The sequence below is a fragment of the Homo sapiens genome, chromosome 3 (genome assembly GCF_000001405.40).
Source record: "Homo sapiens chromosome 3, GRCh38.p14 Primary Assembly".
NCBI lineage: Eukaryota > Metazoa > Chordata > Mammalia > Primates > Hominidae > Homo > Homo sapiens.
The window spans coordinates 151,160,996-151,180,556 of record NC_000003.12 but is presented as its reverse complement, the minus strand read 5'-3'; the positions used below and the strand labels follow the sequence as shown (position 1 = coordinate 151,180,556).

Genomic DNA, 19,561 nt, shown 5'->3' with positions numbered 1-19,561 from the left:
GAGGAAGTCAATTCACTTCCAAAAGTACCCATTAATGTGCTTTCTTTTTAAGTGCCCATAATACGGTAGGCATGGGGAAACAAAAATTTTAAAGATCTTGTCCCTATCCTCAAAATGCTCACCTTCTAGAGAGAAACGTCTAAAAGACAAGTAATCATAAAGTAACAAGACATTTCTAGAGTGGAGGAATAAGTAAGTCTAGCCTTCCACCCCTTCGGTATCTCCTGGGAGGGGAGCATACATCTGTCCCAACTTACTGACATCTGAGATCTCAACCTGAAGAAATTCCTGTGGACTACCTGCTGCAGTTGTAGTCCCAATTTCTGATTTTTAGAAATTAAGTGAATTAAGAAACCCAGAAATTAAAACCTTGAGGAAAATGCTGCTGAAAAGACTGAGCTTTTAAAAAATAGAAAATTTCAGCACAAAAATTTTCTTGTCCTTTTATCAATTATGCCTATAAAAAGTTATGCATTTCAAAATCTTATATTTAACCAATAAATATTTTCCAATACTAGCTAGATACCAAGAATGCAATGTCCACTATTTCTTAAATATCATAAAACCTGCCAAGTGATGCCATCCTTTCCTTAGGATATTTAGAGTGGTGGGAATAAAGGAATAGACAGCTTCTGCGCCTACTTTAAAAGAAATGATACTATCAAAGAAGTTTTACAATGACTTATACTAACTTCTCAGATTGAATGTCTTCAGCAATGGAACTATGAAAATTTTTGGTTTGTTTTTATTTCCATTTTTTCTGCAGGCTAATGGGCCAGATTTCAATGTCTGATTAAAGACATACAGATAAGGGCAGATGGCAGAGGCTTCCAAAGGAACACAGGAAAAGGAAGGTCAATGGTGCATGACCAGCAGTAAATCCCAAGTCCTATCCAAGAGGGGTCGTTCTCAGCCCTCAGACAGTGTCTCTCACCATGCTTTCCTTCTTCCAGGAGCAGTACCCCTACTGCTCCTTCCCCTTCTTGGGGTAATTACAGTACCCCATCCTCTCAGCTTTATTGTTATAGTCTGCATTTGGAGCTGTGAGAGGCAGTGAAAATTTCAGGCAATTCTTTGGACATAAGAAAAACAAAATTCACTCCATCAGGTACTCATTAGGTGCAATGTCCTGTAAAACATTTCAGATGCCAAAGGTCTAGACCAGCCCTGACCAAATAAAGTATATGTTTCTCTTATGATTAACCCCCCGCCCTTTTTTTTTTCGGTCTGGCTCTGTCACCCAGGCTAGAGTACAGTTGTACAATCTCGGCTCACTGCAAGCTCTGCCTCTTGGGTTCAAGCGATTCTCCTGCCTTAGCCTCCAAAGTAGTTGGTGTTACAGGTGGGTGCCACCTCGCCTGGCTAATTTTTGTACTTTTAGTAGAGATGGGGTTTCACCATGTTGGCCAGACTGGTCTAGATCTCCTGACCTCAGGTGGTCCGCTCACCTCAGCTTTCCAAAGTGCTGGCATTACCAGTATGAGCCACCACGCCCAGCCAAAAACTCATTTTTAGAATAGGTTTTCTACAGTATTTATTGCTTATTCTAGTCATGGACTAAAGTCATAGGACTGATAGCAGACACAATAAAAATAAAAAATTGAAAGTCTTAATGTTACATGTAAATCTTTTCAGTTGCTTCTAATGAAAATTTAATATAAAATAACTTGCAGATTAAGTTATGGGTTTAATCACACTGAAAATCAATAATGATGATAGATTACCAAATTTACAGGTAGTAGTAATAAAGATAATTAACATGTACTGAGTGCCTACCCAATTTACAGTCAGACATTGCAATAAATGTGTTTCAGGAATTCTTTCTCTCAATCTTTACAACCTATAAGCTGGTTATATTATCCCCAGTTTACAAATAAGGAAACTGCAAGGCATAGAGATAGCAAATAACTTGTCCAAGGTCACTCAGCTAAGTAATGGAGCTCTTCCCACAACATAACTCGTGGAAATGAACCAAACAGGTAAAGCAAAACCTGTGTGTCAAAAGAACCTGGGTAGGTAACTCTGTCCTTCCCTCCAGCGTACACAATACACAATGGCCTTTTGTGTGAGCCCCCAGCACCTCTGGCTTCTCCTGACTCCACCCTCCTCAATGCTTACACAGCCTCAGAGTATTCTGCTCCCTTTTGAGCTGGAATATTTACTCCTATGTAACATGCACATTTCACAACACAGCTTTGTGGCTATTAGATTTCCAGCTTTTGGCTTTAAATATACACTAGGAAGGCTCAGGTACCACCCTGGAGGTGCACCACTGAGAATAACCAAAAGGAAGTACTTCATTCCAAACACTACAAAGGAGGGTTCAGGTCTTCATGGGGCAGAAACAGGCAGCTTTTCATATTGGCACTTTCTTTTTTTTTTTTTTTTTTTTTTTTTTTGAGACCAAGTCTCATTCTGTTGCCCAGGCTGGAGTGTAGTGGCACAACCTCAGCTCACTGCAACCTCCACCTTCCAGGTTCAAGCCATTCTTGTGGCACTTTCTAACGAATAGTAAGAAGTTGAACAATGTAAGCATGCCTCCCTAGCTTTAAATAACAGGTGAATGAGATACATAAGAACAAGAGGTAGGCTTGAGGGGAGGGAATAATTGAACCCTGGCATATAAAGTTAAGGTCAAAGAAAAAATAACAAACTATAGGCCCAGCCCTGGCATAAATTAAAACACATAATCATGGCAATAATAGTATTAACAGTTTTAAATTTCCAACTACAGGTAGTTAGCAGTAATTAAAAAATATTTATTGGCCAGGTGCAGTGGCTTATGCCTGTAATCCCAACACTTTGGGAAGCCGAGCAGGAACAATGGCTTGAGGCCAGGAGTTCAAGATCAGCCTGGGCAATGTAGTGACACCCCATTTAAAATAAATAATAAAAAAAAAAAAGCCAGGCATGGTAGTGTACATCTGTAGTCCCAGCTACTCAGGAGGCTGAGATGGGAAGAGAGCTTGAGCCTAGAAGTTCAAGTCTACAGTGAGATATGATTGTAGGCGACAGTGAGACCCTGTCTCAAAAACAAAAATTATTGAGCAAGTACTGGAAATTTTACACACATCATCTCTAATCTTAATAAACTTGAAAGCAGGTATTGCTATTCCCATTTCAAAGATAAGAAAACTGAGGTTCAAAGAAGTTAAGATGGTCATGGGCACAGAACTAGAAAACAGCACTAGGCTGTCCTAATTCCAAAGCCCCCATACATTCTGCTATACCATGCTGCTGCTCACATCACGGGTAAATCAAGATTACTTATAAAAGGAGGATCACCGTTACATGTAAGTCTCCTGAGTGGCTCACAAGGCCCAGGATCCCTGCTGCCCAGCACCACTCCGGCCAGCCATTGCCACCCTCTGTTCCAGCCCTGACTTCTGCCTCTCTAGGGACAAGCTGGACTTCTAATCTAATTGATACACAGAAAATAAAACCACAGGAGTGAATTACCAAAGACTTTATTCTGTTTCCAGATGCTCATATGATATCACCTAGAGCACAATCCCCTTTATTCTGCCTCTAACACATGCTAGACTTACTGTCATTTTCACGGTTTTATTTTCAGCACCTTCCACGGTGCCTGGTGTAGAGTAGGTTCGACTGTTTTTAAATCAAAGAGTAAAAGTAATACACTGTGTTACATTAAACCAAAGGAATAAACAAGGTAGATGGGGAGAAAGTTTACAGATGCACTTAATTAATATAAGTAACTGACTTAATTCCGCAGTTGACCAAGTGTGACACACTAGAAGCATTCCCATTCCTCATTTAATAAGTTCAGGCTGCTGGCCTCAACACTATCACTTAGCATCATTTTGAAAGTGTTAACCAATGAGAAGAGACAGGAATAAATATCTGAAAGGATATGGCAATGTGTCACTACAGTTTGCATAAAAGGATTATGCCCCACCCCCACCCACCCAGATAATTAACTGGAAAACTTTATTAGAAGTAATAAAAGAGTGGAGCACCATGACCAGAAAAAAATAAACAAGAAAAAAATGATGAACAATATTAAGCAGTAAAAGAAAAAAAATCCTGTAGAATATTATGCATAGAGCAATTTCATTTATGTCCTCCAACCTTTATAGTTAAGTGTTCATATATGTTTATGAAAGTTTCCATACTTATATTTCCAAAAGATATTTGAAACGTATTTTTTCCCTAGGCAAGTAATGGACCTCTTGCCACAACATAACTCTTGAAAGTGAACCAAATATGGACCAAAATTAACAGTGATTACTGCTGGTATATATGTTTGTTATACAGTATGCCCTGTTCTCATGTTTTAATGACAATCCTATCATTTTACAGTTGAGCAAACTAAAGTCTAAAGGTTAAATAACTGTCAAATGTCTCAAAGCTACTAGGTCAAATCTGAGTCCAACTCAAGCTATCAGCCTCCACAGAGAGGGCTCTTACGCCAATACCTCCTGTCTGGGCAGGGGAGTGGGACAGGGGTCCACACTGTGGGCTGAACGAAACTTAATATCAAGAATGTACTCCTGTATTATATATATAACAATCACAAGAAGAAACTTCTACAATGACAGCAAACAAGAGAAAATGAATGGACACAAAATTCAAAAATCAATAAGGTCCTTCAAATAACAGCATTGTTTATCTGGTCTCATGAACTTGGGGCATATCTACAGTGGCAAAATAGTAAAAGAATTAATTATGTAGCAAATAATCATAATTAATGATGTTATCTTCATCTATAATAAAGGTATCTCAAATGTGAAGAAAGGTTTTCAACATCGGGGGATTTGCCACATTCTTCTTTCTCAGGGAAGAGCAGGCACAAATCTGAAAGATTAGGCCTAATTCCGTAATTCAGTAATTCAATGTATTCAGCAATTCAATAACCTAATAGTTGTAGAAGCTAACCACAGGTCTTCTATCCCTCAACAAATAAAGAAGGTAAAATAACTGACAACTACATCTGAGAGGCAGGCTTCCTTTAGAAATTAGGAGGTACATGGTGAGATCTTTTGCCAGTTTCAAATAAGAAATTTGTTAATATATTACCTAGGTTATATAACACCATAAAAAGGAGTGGGGGAAAAAAATCAATGACTTATTACTATCAGCAACAGCTAACTAAAAAGAGTTGAAACGTTTTTTAAAATTAAAAATAAAAGGACGTAAGATACTGAATAAAGCTCTTAACAGCTCTTTAATCTTAGACTAAAAGGACATGTTTATAAATGAAATCAATCACTTAGTCAAGGTCAAACAAAATGGTCAAATTTGGAGAAGATATTATTCATATTACAGCACCAATAAATAATATGGAATAATATGTAGTGTAGTTATATTAGCAAGTCATATAGGTTGCAAGCTGAGGCATACTGTGAGGAGCTGGATGAACTGCAAGTCACAGAAGTAAAAAAGTTAGTCTTAACTGCTAATAGAACATAACCTTGCTGTACCTGGTCACAGTCACCAATATAAGATAATAGGCCTAACACTGTTAACCATAAATTCACAAGATCTATTACATAAGCATAAATGGTATTCATTTTTTATAATCTTTATACATATAAACATTTCCAAGCCTGGCATGGTGGCCCAGACATGGTCACCTGTAATCCCAGCAACTCAGGAGGATCACTTGAGCCCAGGAGTTCAAGACCACCAGCCTGAGGAATATAGTGAGACCTTATCTTTAATTAGCCGGGTGTGTGGCGTGTGCCTGCAGTCCCAGCTACTCGGCTGGGGATCACATGAGCCCAGGAGTTCAAGGCTGCAATCAGCTGTGATCGCACCACCGCACTCCAGCCTGGGCAACAGAGCAAGACCCTGTCTCTTACAAGAAAAATTAAAATAAAAAAAATTAAAAAAATATTTTGCATATATACATTTCCAAAAGATATTTGAGGTGGCTGATTTCTGACTGAGAAAGGGACAAGTTTTCCTAACTTCACATCCTTAAAATCAATGTTGATAGTCTTTAGGTCTTGTGACATCAGATAAACCAAACATATACCATGGAAGCAAAAGCAACTTCCTTTTTGTAAAGCAGTAGTTAAAAACAGAAGAGATCTAATTCTGCGAGGAAACAAGACAGATAAGACAATCCTCTCTGAGTATTTAAATCAACTAATTTTTTACTTAGGTTTGTCATTTATTTGCACTTTAACAAAAAATGATTCTTCTAATCTTCAGTCAACGTTTAAGTAATACAAATGAAAAAAATAGAGGAGTTGTGAGAAATACATAATTGCATAACAGAAAGTCATACAGGGGCTGATCCATAATTTCAAAGTAAAATCTCTCCAAAAGTCCTTAACAAGTACATGTCTCTCATATTTAAAATACAGACTGAGCATCCCTATCTGAAAATCCAAAATCTGAAATGCTCCAAAATCCAAAATGTTCTGAAGACCAACCTGATGCGCAAAGGAAATGCTCACTGGAGTATTTCACACTTCAGATTTTCAAACTGGGGTGCTCAACTGGTAAGTATATAATGCAAATATTCCAAAATCTGAAAAAAGTCTAAACTCCTAAACACTTCTACTCTCAAATATTTCACGTAAGGGATATTCAAGCTATAATTAAAATATTATGCGTAATTTCCAAAATTCATCACTGTACAAAAAACTTTACTGCTTGCCTTTTATGAAGATCAAAGTAACATACAGATAAGAAGGAATTACAAATTTCTAGAAGATGGTGCTTTGTTCTACTCACTTGACAACCAAAAGCTGTCCAGTCAAGAACATAACAACTGGCATTTACTAAGTGCTTATCATGTACTACTACACGAAGTGGATTCTATTAGTAAGGCCATTGTACAGACAAACAGACTGACACTAAGGGAGATCTGAAGCCACTCAAATACTTGGGAGCAAAATGAAGACTGAAAATCAGGTCTGAACTGGCCTAAAGTCTATGGTATCCTACCAAGGCCAGCGTGCTCAACTTGAGGATTTGAATTTTCTAATTAAAATATTGTTTACTATGTTAAAATTGTCAAGCAAGCTTTTAAAAATTAATAGATTATTCCATCACATAAATGTACCAATATTCATATTTGGAAATTGTTGGTGAAAATTGTTCATGGCAATTACAAAGGTGTCTTCCTCTTTTTTCCAAAATTACATCTGAAACTTGTTACTTCAGCTATATTGTTCACTGAAATAAAATCATTTTTTAAATAAACAGTAGAAGAAATAGAACGTACTAGTTAAGAGTACCATTTGGATTGTACTGTTAATTGGAACTACTTAGGATTCCAATTCCTTTCTTCCACCAATGAGTTGGGTATCAGCCTCAACAATTTCTCATCCTCTCTAGCATTGGTTGCCTTGTCAAAAAAGTAAAAGATTTTTTAAAAAGAGAAAGTAAGAAAAAGAATAACGTGCATCTCACAGGCCAGGGAAAAACTAAATAAGATGACATAACACTAAAACAGGGCTCGTTGTCTAAAAAGAACACACACAAAAAAGTTAAAAAAAAAAAAAAGTCGCATAATACTCAAAAACAAATCAAGAGGCCCACTCCAATCTAAACAATGTGTGACAGGCCCTTCTCAGTGACAGCAAGTCTAAATAACTGGACACACAATTTTGTTTTCCCAACTATGTTACTAGAAACCAAACTTTTACTAACACATTATTTCAAAAAATAAGAAAATACTAGTTGTAAAAGACTAGCAACGCTTCCTTTGGGTGTCCAGTAGGAAATGTGTTAGCTTCTGAAGCACAATACACTTCTGGCTGGGCTGTGATCAGCATCAACAACATAAATTCAGCACACCTGGATCTCAACAGAAAGCCATCCATGCACATTTTCCTTGCTTGCTTGACTTTTGCCTTATTTGACTTTCTGCAGTCTTGGTTTTAGAAACTGACTTTTTTCCTTAAACAACAACAAAACCTAAGCATTTAAATGAACATGATTTCCTTTACAACATGGTCCTGCAGCTACCCCATCCTGAGTGGATCAATGCCATCCAACTGCCTCCCTACAGAGAGTAAAGACTTCATGAAAACCAGCAAATGTAAAAAGCCCAAAAGATCCTGGCTGTGCCTTATGATTAGTAGACTGCGTGATGGGTATCTGTGTGTGCCCACAGTAGCCCCAAGGGGCCCACTATGAGTCTCTGATCATATTCCTTCCAATTCTGCAGTTTTTAACTAACTCTATATACATCAGTCAGTAATAATAGCAGCTAGTGTTTATTAAGTACCCATTTACATGCTGGGAACTATAAATATTTGAATGGTTTATCAATCAAATATTTCATGTCATTTTCACATCGTCAGGAAATAGCATGCCCATTTTACAAAATGAGGAAACTGAGACTCATCAAAAATACGTGAATTGTCCAATGTCCCTAAAGAAATACACTAAACTGCTGATTTCACAGCAGAGAGCTCCCCTGTCAGCCACACCCCTACCTCTACCTGCACGTACTCTCTCCCACATCTGAATCTAAGCATTCGTCTAAGACTGATATATACAGATTCCATGACTGTATTCATCTCTACCTTTCCAAGCCAAATCTTATAGGGGTGCTTCCCCTTCCAGTTCACTGCCCGAGTAGCTTTTTAATGAGGTCTAAAAAATGAATTCAATAAATGCGACTGAGCATCTCCTGGGCCCCATGCATGGTACTTGGGGCTGATAATGTGCATAAGGTGAGGAGAAGAAGAAACATAGACCCCAGGGAAACGCTTGCAGGAAGACAAATGTGGAACAAGCCCAGCACTGACAGAAAGCGAGCTTTTGTCCTCTGGATCGTGGTGGTGAAGCAGAGTTCGCCAGCTGCACTGATACAAACCTGGCTGGGCCTGGGACACTCTGTGCCACAGGTGAGGAAAGCACATTTTCTAAACTTAGGGCCTTTGCCATTCAAAACATCACTATGAACTCATCACAACCTTTCAAAGAATTCTGCACGAATAGTCTAAGCATAAAACAAATCCAAACAATAAATATGTAAGTTTCCCCGTCTGGGGTGTGTGGTTTTAGCAGCAGGGAAGGAGGAAACACACATGCTGCTGCAGGAACACTCTGTCCAGTGCAGCCGGTTCCATCTTTTCATTACTCAGGATAAAGCTGGCTTCCTGGGACCCCCAAAGAGAGAAGTGAAAAGGCAGCTCTTCCTGCCACCTTTAGCCTGTCCCTTCTATCCATGTCCTTGAGGCACCCTAAAGATGCAGCTGCCTCCGTGCTCACACTCATCCCAAACAGAGAGATGCCAAGAGGAAGGAAGTGGTCTGAGGCCTCTGAAAAGCAAAGAGAGCAACTCCTCCTCCAGCTGCTCAGAGGTGAGGTCACAAGTGACAGGCTCAGTGAGCATGTGGAAACCAGGGGTCCCACTGTCCACATAACGACTCCTTTGTGTGGATGTCAGGATTTGCCACCTCCATCACCCAGACTAGAAATGGCTCTGAAACACTAAACAAGCAAATAAGTGAGTACATGTTGTAGAAGACATGTACCAGGAATTGAAAAGTGACAAGCATCTGAGTGAATATGGCCAGCAGACACACTGCCTGGCTGCACAGTATTTTAAAATCAGGAAAGTTTACATGCAGATCTTGACATCCAGCTTCTCTTGAAATGTTGGATGATCAGGGAACAGTGGATCCCAAGCAGAATCTAAGAATTTGAGAGGCTTCCCTCTTCAGACAGGGTCTGCCCACTTCCCAGACACCTCAACCCCCACCACCTCCAGGCTGCCTTATACATAGCATCCCCCGACTCATTCCCACTACCTGCCTGGCCACTGTGGGACATGAGCCCTGACCTCAGTATTACCATCTTTATATCTCACACTACTCTGAATGGAAAACTAAGCAGCACAGATCTAGAATAAGGAAACACTCAGGTTTTTGAGATTTTTATTTTCACCTCCCTTGCCATTATACCCAAAAGCCCAGACACAGAAACAGTGGCCAAGGAAATGGGGCGGTAAAGGGCAACAGGGAGGGAGAGTAAAGAATTAGCACATTCCAGGCCAGGTGCAGTGGCTCACGCCTGTAATTCTAGCACTTTGGGAGGCTGAGGTGGGTGGATCACGAGGTCAAGAGTTCAAGAACAGCCTGGCCAACATGGTGAAACCCCATCTCTACTAAAAATAGAAAAATTAGCCGGGCATGGTGGCAGGCGCCTATTAATCCCAGCTACTCGGGAGGCTGAGGCAGAGAATGGCTTGAACTCAGGAGGCAGAGGTTACAGTGAGCCAAGATCACGCCACTGCACTCCAGCCTAGGTGACAGAGCAAGACTCCATCTCAAAAAAAAAAAAAAAAGAAAAAGAAAAAAAGAAATAGTGCATTCCATGTGGAATCAGTGAAGGCACACCACATAGCCTGGCACACCCCAATGTGGGCACAGAATCAGCTCCTACTCCCACTCTCATGACCACAGTCCAACCACAAGGCAGGGCCCAGGCCTCGGATGCCTTCATCCCATGCACTGCAGTTTTCAACAGGCTTTCACCAATACTGAAACTGATTACACACACAAACTTCTCCCATTTAGACAGAAGTTCTCCCCTCCCTACAAGGAAGTAGAGAGGACTGCATTTCCCTGTCGCAGTTCCAGAGAAAAGGGAATTAAGGAATCAAGGAGGGTGAAATTCAGGTTTTCCCAACAGATGTGAAGAAGCAGGCTATGCAACCTGGGGCCTAGGCCTACCTAGACACGACTTCTAGTAACAGCAAACCTCCAACCTATTGCAACTACAGAAGTTGATCATGTTTTATCTATCGTGCTATCTAAATCCTGAATGAATTATGAAAACAAAAAAGGGGAAGTATATTTTAAAGAAGTGAGACCAATTTCTGAATCCTAACCACACGTAACTCCTTATCAGAGAACAGCATCATCACATTAGTTCTTCCAGTATAATACTAATAATTGCTATATTATTATTGTTAACAATTTTTAAAACATATTTGTATAGTGCCTTATAATTCTCAAAGTGTTCATGTTTCCTTAGAGAAAAAAAGGGCAAGTACTCTATGCCTACTTAACCAGGAAGGGCACTATTGCACAAAGCCTTGAGTAACTTACTCAAGATCACCAGCTGATCAGTTAACATGATGCTGCAGCACATGCATGAATTCCAGAAATACGCAAAGTGACTCTGCAGTCAAGAAAACAGGGCTGGGCACGGTGGCTCATGCCTGTAATCCCAGCACTTTAGGAGGCCAAGGCGGGTGGATCACTTGAGGCCAAGAATTAGAGACCAGCCTGGCCAACATGGTGAAACCCAATCTATACTAAAAATATAAAAATATTAACCGGGCGTGACGGCAGGGCACCTGTAATTCCAGCTACTTGGAAGGCTGAGGCAGGAGAATTGCTTGAACCCAGGAAGTGGAGGTTGCAGTGAGCCAAGATCACGCCACTGCACTCCAGCCTGGGAGACAGACAGAGACTCCGTCTCAAAAAAAAAAAAACAAAAAAAAAAAAAAACAAAGAAAAAGAAAACAGTAACCCCTGTTAAGGAGTAAATAGAGAGATAAAACTTGATTACATATACATATATACCTTGATGCATATACCATACATACAGATACCAACGACATATTTTAAAAATTAATTTAGTCCAGGCACACTGGCTCACACCTCCCAGCACTTTGAGAGTCCAAGGCAGATGGATCACTTGAGGCAAGGAGTTTGAGACCAGCCTGACTACAAATAGAAAAATTAGCTGGACACAGTAGTATGTACCTATAATCCCAGCTACTGGGGAGGCTGAGGCATGAAAATTGTTTGAACCTGAGAGGCAGAGGTTGCAGGGAGCCAAGACAGTACCACTGCACTCTAGCCTGGGCAACAGACTGAGACTGTCTTGGAAAAATACTAATAATAATTTAATGTTAAGTATTACAGAAGGATCCATCTATTTTGTTATCCTTTTTGCCAGACTATTAAGAAAAGGTGACCAATCTGAATTATGGGTTGAAAACGTAGTTTTCATCAAGTCTTTCTGAAGTTGAGTCAACATTCAAAATAATTACTGCTAAATGGGGCAACACTGATGGCCCTTCCAGAAATGTGCGTGCCTAGAGCCTCCAGGACTCTCAGTCCTGAGCACATGTCGCCCTCTGGTGGCACGCACCTCTCTGAATCCTGGAGAAGTCACTCAGGTAGGGGAAGCTTCCGGCAGTGATTTCCAAACATTTCCCACACACCCTCTCAGCTCAAAGAGTTTTTTTAGTAAAAACTTTCAACACACACTTATTTATAACTTCTATACCTATACGATCATAATAATTACATTCATTTCCAGAGACAAAAGAAGCTTTTGAAAATTATAATCTGAACAGAAGTTCTAATAACCTTCTTGCACCCTAATGGCTCATTGCAAGCACCCACTCCGGAGATATCTGTGATTTACAAAGAACCTCACAGTGTGATTTCATTCAGAAAGATTGCAACATAATTTCTGCCCTTGAATTTTTTTGAAAAAACACCCCTATTTTTTTCTTGAGAGTGCTGTAACTTAAGTGTCTGCAGGTGAATGGGGCAATAATCCTGAAGTTAGCCAGTGCATACACTCTGAAGGTATATAGTCAGGCTAACCACAAAACTAAGGTGGTTATGATAATCTTGGTAAAACCCTCACCAGGAAACAATGTAGCTTTTACTCAATACTTAGTGCAAGAAGCTAAACAATCCAAGATCCCCCTGAATTTTGGGTATCCCTACTTTCCTTCCAGATAACTCACCTATATGTATTAAAAATCTTAGTATTCATGAAGTCTTTTATCTAAGAAAGTCTTTACTAAAAACACACTTTAAGGTTTCCACCCAAAAAGAGCACGTAGCACTCTAACTTGCCTCAGTAAGCAGAGGATTATATCAGCATGCTCCACTGAAGTAGGGAGGCATTGCTACTGAACTCGCGATGAATTTAAAAAGCACACTCAATCAGTCCCTTGCTCTCAACGTTCTGAATGATCCTAGCTGGCACCATTAGTCTTGAACCATATCTTTGAGAAGCAGGGTGATCAATCAAAAATTATTCCAAAAAGAATAATAATCTGGAATATGTATCAGGCTCACATAAAGGTAAGAGAAGGAAAGGTTTTTGATGGTGGTTGTTGTTGCTGTTTCATCTTTTCTTTCCACATATGCATTCCCAAAAGCCAGTTGAAATATCAAAGATGCTTGCCATCAGCTAACTAAGGTATTGAAGGTGTCTTAAAACTTAACTCTGCAGTCCTAGTGCCTAGCACAGGCTGGATATTATCATCGGCAGTTTTCATTGTGAAAAGAAGACAAACTTTTTATTTCTCCCCAAATAAGGCTGAGGAAAAAAACAACTGAATATCCTAGTTTTGGGGCAATTCATTCATGAAACAATCTATTGCTAGATATGTGTGAGATAAAAATTATCTGTGATTATCAATTTTAGATATTAACTTGGCTAAGCTATTGTATCCAGTTGTTTGGTCAAACACCAGTCTAGTTGTTGCTAAAAAGATTTTTTTAAGATGTGATTAAGATTTAAATCAACAGACTTTGAGTAAAGCAGATTATGTTCTATAATGTGTGTGAGCCTAATCTAGCCCATAGAAAGTCTTAAAAGACTAAGGTCCCGGCCGGGTGCGGTGGCTCAGGCCTGTAATCCCAGCACTTTGGGAGGCTGAGGCAGGCGAATCAGGAGATCAGGATTCAAGATCAGCATGGCCAACATGGTGAAACCCCATCTCTACTAAAAATACAAAAAATTAGCTGAGCATAGTGGTGGGTGCCTGTAATCCCAGCTACTCGGGAGGCTGAGGCAGGAAAATCACTTGAACCCAGGAGGCAGAGGTTGCAGTGAGCCGAGATTGCACCACTGCACTCCAGCCCAGGTGACAGTGTGAGACTCTGTCTTTAAAAAAAAAAAAAAGACTGAGGTCCCCAGAGGAAGAAAGAATTCTGCCTCCAGACTGCCTATGGACTCAAGACCGCCACATCAGTTCTTCCTTGAGTCTCCAGCCTGCCCTGAATATCTCAAATTTGCCAGCCCCATAATCATGTGAGCCAATTCCTTAAAATAAATACCCCTCTCTTTTCTCCCCCCCTTTCTCTCTCTAGGTAGATATAAACATATATGTACGCATACACATATATATACATACACTTAACACACACTTTTTTTCTATTGGTTCTATTTCTCTGTAGAACCCTAACACATTGTCTAAGGATTTTTGAAAGATCATGACCACGGGTATTCATGCACTGCCCTCTGCTGTGCTAAATGTTAACATACATTCCCCCAAGTTAAAGCCAACCCACCATATTAAGTCCAATCACTAAATGAAGGATATTCTTCTAAAACTAAAATTGGAAAGTGATGGTAAAAGGGCCAAGAAAAATCTTGCCCGTCAATATATCAATATTCCTAGGTAGATAAGCCCCACTGACATTTCATTTTAATAATGGTAGGTAATCTTAGTCCAACAATAGAATGATTTCAAGTGTGTATGTCTTCATAAGATACTACACTTCATAGAAAAGGTTTCGCCAGAGTTTCCTGAATGAGAAAGAAGAAAAAAACACTATGAAAATAAAAGGTGAAAAGAATTAAAAAAAAATTAACTACCTCTTGGTTATCTTTGTTTTGGTTTGCCCAGAAAATCTTATGATAAAGTGTCTCCATGGAATTGCTGGAATCAGTTCGGTCAAAACAGTGACGATCCAAAACTTCCAACGTGTGCAAAACCCGACTAATAGTCACCCCTATAGGCAGAAATTAAACAAGTGGTTAATGAGGCCAAAAATAACACAGTTATAACACAGTACAAAATCACCATTCTATGTGAGGCAAAAGAATTTTTTTTTAATTATCATTCTTGGCATATGTTATCAAACAATCATCAACAAAACCAAACTTGACATTCTAGACAGCCAGGATCTAAAAGGCATAAACTGAAGATTGTCCTCAAAATTCACCAAGTGGCTCTGTCAAAAAGCTGCCTTATTCATGTGGAATGGTTTATAAGAAGCAAAAACACAGCATAAAGTCCAACATTCAAAAGCACTCGTTCCTCTGTGGCATTCTGTACCTGCTGTGGATTCTTGGCACTTGTCAAATGACCACCGAACTTCCACTGCACGGCCTCTTTGTTTTATCTGTTGTTCTACTTCATAAATCCTTGCCCGAACCTGAAAGATAATCGCTTCTAATTAACTTGTGCTTGGAATGCCACAGCGCATGTCTAAATCATGTCAGGTTTTTCCACGTGAGTAAAGTATCCTATAGTGAACTACAATCTTGACTGCATTGTAAGAAATGCAGCCTGTGGCCCAATAAGTGAATTTTTAAAATTTACAAAGGGCAATTCAATGTCAGTTTTCAATAATAAATGTTCACAAAAATAAATGCTTGCAAAATTTGTTTTACGAGTGAAATTTCTTTTTTAGGACACCACGTGGAAAGGTGAATGTTCTAAAATAATCTCTTTGAGCCATTCTTCCATGTGTGAAAGCAATTTGCAACGTTCTATTAAGAAAACTGCTTGGGAAAAGACAGGGATCTTATTCTTTTTTTTTAATGGATGAATATGATTTTATTTTATTTTTATTATACTTTAAGTTTTAGGGTACATGTGCACAATGTGCAGGTTTGTTACATATGTATACATGCGCCATGTTGGTGTGCTGCACCCATTAACTCATCGTTTAACATTAGGTATATCTCCTAATGCCATCCCTACCCCCTACCCCCACCCCACAACAGGCCCCGGTGTGTGATGTTCCCCTTCCTGTGTCCATGTGTTCTCACTGTTCCATTCCCACCTATGAGTGAGAACATGCGGTGTTTGGTTTTTTTTTGTCCTTGCAATAGTTTGCTGAGAATGATGGTTTCCAGCTTCATCCATGTCCCTACAAAGGACATGAACTCATCATTTTTTATGGTTGCACAGTATTCCATGGTGTATATGTGCCACATTTTCTTAATCCAGTCAATCATTGTTGGACATTTGGGTTGGTTCCAAGTCTTTGCTATTGCGAATAGTGCTGCAATAAACATACGTGTGCATGTGTCTTTATAGAAGCATGATTTATAATCCTTTGGGTATATACCCAGTAATGGGATGGCTGGGTCAAATGGTATTTCTAGTTCTAGATCCCAAGACAGGGATCTTATTCTAAATATTAATCACAATCCTATGGTTCAAGTCACATAAGGCTTTGAAACAAATAACCCAGTACCAATAAGAACATATAATAATTACCAAATATCAAAACTACTACAGGAGTCATGGTCATGTATTAGAACCACCACCATAATTACAGTCTGGGTGGCAGAACTCTCAGCAAGAACTGTTCAGCAAGACAGTGAAAAGAAAGGGAGCAACTTCGAGAATTTCAGTGGTTCTGAAGAGGCTAAACAATTCTCTAAGGTCACCCAGAGTGTTAGCAGGCAAAACTGGGATAGCACCCAAGCATCTAGATACTAAAACCTGTGCTTGACCCACTGTGCCCTGATGCCTGTCAAGAATGAAAACAGCCATCAAATCACTGAAACATAAAGTCTACCTGCTGATTGAAAGCCGTGTTCCCACCCGGCATGGGGAGGCTGGACGGGGCCACCTGCAGCAGATCCAGGGGTGAGCCTGGGTTTGCGCTCTTATTTTCATTTGTGGAATAATTCCACACCAAGGCACTTGGGCAACAGAGAGTGACAGTCTGGAAATGAAACAGATAAAGTTGGATGTTCAGAGGAAGGAGAAAAGCATAACAATAGCTAAACAGTAAAAACGACACCCTGTCATCACTGTATTATTGTCTCCTACTAGTAAGTTTAAAATACGAGAGTGTCTTACCCCATTCTCAACTTCGCAATTGAGAAGACAAAACTAAAAATTATTAAGTTGAAAGGGAGGAAGTACAGCTGTTGAGAAATTAAGGAATAATTCATAAGCTAATACTCCAACAGGAACCTGAAGGAACTTAATAAAAATGCAGTAATCATCACTTAAAAATCGTCACTTAAACCAATTTTTCATGCAATTAAAAACATGAGATGAACTTATAATATGTAATTTCTAAGGCTGTAAAAGCTAAAAAAAAAGAAGTATTTAAAAACAAAAACAAAATCAAATAATCATGTAATAGTAGCTTCATAAATGGTGGGCAGGCAGTAACCCTGGACAAGGGGTTGTCAAACTTTTTCTATAAGAAGCCTGATAGTAAATGTTTTAAGCTTTGCAGGCTACCTACAGTTTTTGTCACACATTCTTCATTTTTGTTTTAATAATGCATTAAAAACATAAAACCTATTTTTACCTTGTGGGCCGAATTTGATCCACAGCCTGTAGATCTCCCTCGCCCTAGACACTTGCAGACACTCTTCACTCAACCAGAAGTACTTTATATGACCATCTTGCTTATGTGTCACAATAACCCCATGATCTAGGTAGTGTTATCCCCCACCTTTACCAAAGAGGACTATGAGCCGCGTAGATTAGTAACCAACCCAAGTTTGATTTTATTAATAGCACACATGCTCAGAACCACTATGTTATCCTGCCTCCTAAACATAGATTAAACATTATAGCTCACATTTAATTAAGCTAATTACACTTAGTCTACGCTGAACACTATCTTGGAAGCTTTCCGTCATCATAACCTTAACCCTATGAGGCAATGAAGTAAGAACTATCATTACTCCCCAACCAGACACGGGGAAACAGAGGCTCAAGGTCACCGTTACTAAGTGGCAGAGTGAGGTTTAAAATCAGGTCTGTAACAGCTTTAAAGTGTATATCTAAGCCATTATGCTCTTGTGCCATTCAACAGCAAATTTTTTTTCAAAAATATGAAATTAAGTACAAAAAGCTGGCCAGGCACAGTGGCTTGCACATATAATCCCAGCGCTCTGGGAAGCCAAGGCAGAAGGATCACTTGAGCCCAGGAGCTTGAAACCAGCCTAGGCAACACAGTGAAACCCCATCTCTAAGAAAAATTTAAAAATTAGCTGGGTGTGGTGATGCACATCTGTAGTCCTAGCTACTAAGGAGGCTGAGGGGGGAGGATCACTTACTTGAGGCAGGAGGATCACTTGAGCCCAGGAGCTCCAGGCCGCAGTGACTGAAGATTAGGCCACACTGCCCTCCAGCATGGGCAACAGAGCAAAACCCTGTCTCAATCAATTCATCAATCAATTTAAAAAAAATAAAAATAAAAAAAATAAACTCTGAGGTCTAGGAGACATCTTTGTGGAAACCAGATAGCAGATACAAAGAATGTCAAGTCCCTGAAACCTACCAATCCATCTCTTTCCACTGGGCTACATCCCTACTGCCTTCCTCATGACTGTAACAATGTGGAGTTCTCAACTCCTCCTGACAGAGCCCTTCCTTGTGTCCTTGATTCCAAAGCCCTCTAATACCCAGGGCACTGATCTATCAAACACTGCTCCTTCTCCTATTTGCTCTTAGCCCAAAAATACATTCAAATCTGCCCATCAAAATATATATATATTTTTAACTCTCCACTCAGCTGCCATCTTTATCCATTATCCATTCTCTTCTCTTCTCTTCATAAACACGTTTCTCAAAACAACAATTAGTGCTATTTCTCCTTATTCTCCATCACTCCTCGACATTCCTTAATTTGGCTCCTTATCCACCATTCAATTAAATAGCTCTTTAAAAGATCACCAATGAACACTATATTGTTAAAGACTACTTCAGCCATCTTCTTGCCAGATGTCTCCAATACTCTACACATTGCCCACTACTAATTCCTTTTTGAAACTTTCTGCAGACCCCAGTTTAGCATAGTGGTTGAGTGTGGACTCTGGATCCTGATTGCTTTGGTTTGGATTCCAGCTTTGCCACTTTCTTGCTCTGTAATCTATGCATTATTGATGTTATAAGAATAATAATGGTTCCCATCTCAAAGGCTAGTTCCAAGAACTAAATGACTTAATAACATACGTTGCAACTTAGAACGATGCCTAGACCATAATAAATGCTATCCATACGCTAATATAATTATGACAATATTACTGTTATTCTCATCATCTTTGGGCAACAATACTCTCCCCCTGTTCTCTCTCCAGTCTGGCCAACCTTCCCGGTCTCCTCCATGGACTTCCCCTCTGCCCGACTCTTAAGCACTCCTGTCCTTCAGGTTCACGGATTCTCTCTCACTACAAAATTCTTCAGGCAACCTCACTCCCTCTTGGGTTTTTGAACAGCCAAAGTTCTTGAAGGATTCGAATCCACACAAGTAGCCAACTGTCTGCCCAAATCTGCAGAATTGGACATGTAACAACTCTTGAACATATCCATTTGGAGGTTCTAAATAAAGGACAAACAGTCCAAAATAGTCCAAAGCTGAACTCCCTGAAATGCTTCCAAACTGATTTCTTTGCCTTGCAAGCCTCCTTTCCTACCTCCCCACTCCCACCAATCTTCCCTCTACTGTGGCCAATCAATCTAACGACAATTACACAACTACCTGTGTCACTTTGCTGCATAAAACCCTCTGATGACACCTCAATCATAAGGCCCACAGGGCATCTTCTATGCCCTGACCCCCAACAGAGTTTATAATGTATGTCCCACTAACACCCA

The 19,561-nt window shown here is 39.7% G+C and overlaps 1 protein-coding gene across 24 annotated transcripts in view; it reads right to left on the bottom strand.

The window, feature by feature from the left end:
• The window catches only part of MED12L (mediator complex subunit 12L), a 350,990-nt gene that overhangs the window by 256,097 nt on the left and 75,332 nt on the right, over nucleotides 1-19,561 (bottom strand). For all 24 annotated transcript variants that reach the window (XM_017005676.2, NM_001393769.1, XM_017005678.2 and 21 more), the window contains 3 exons: nucleotides 16,515-16,664; nucleotides 15,038-15,137; nucleotides 14,575-14,711 (listed from right to left, as the gene is read on the bottom strand). In XM_017005676.2, the coding sequence (XP_016861165.1) occupies nucleotides 14,575-14,711; nucleotides 15,038-15,137; nucleotides 16,515-16,664 (387 nt within the window). The remainder of the gene's footprint in view (nucleotides 1-14,574; nucleotides 14,712-15,037; nucleotides 15,138-16,514; nucleotides 16,665-19,561) is intronic.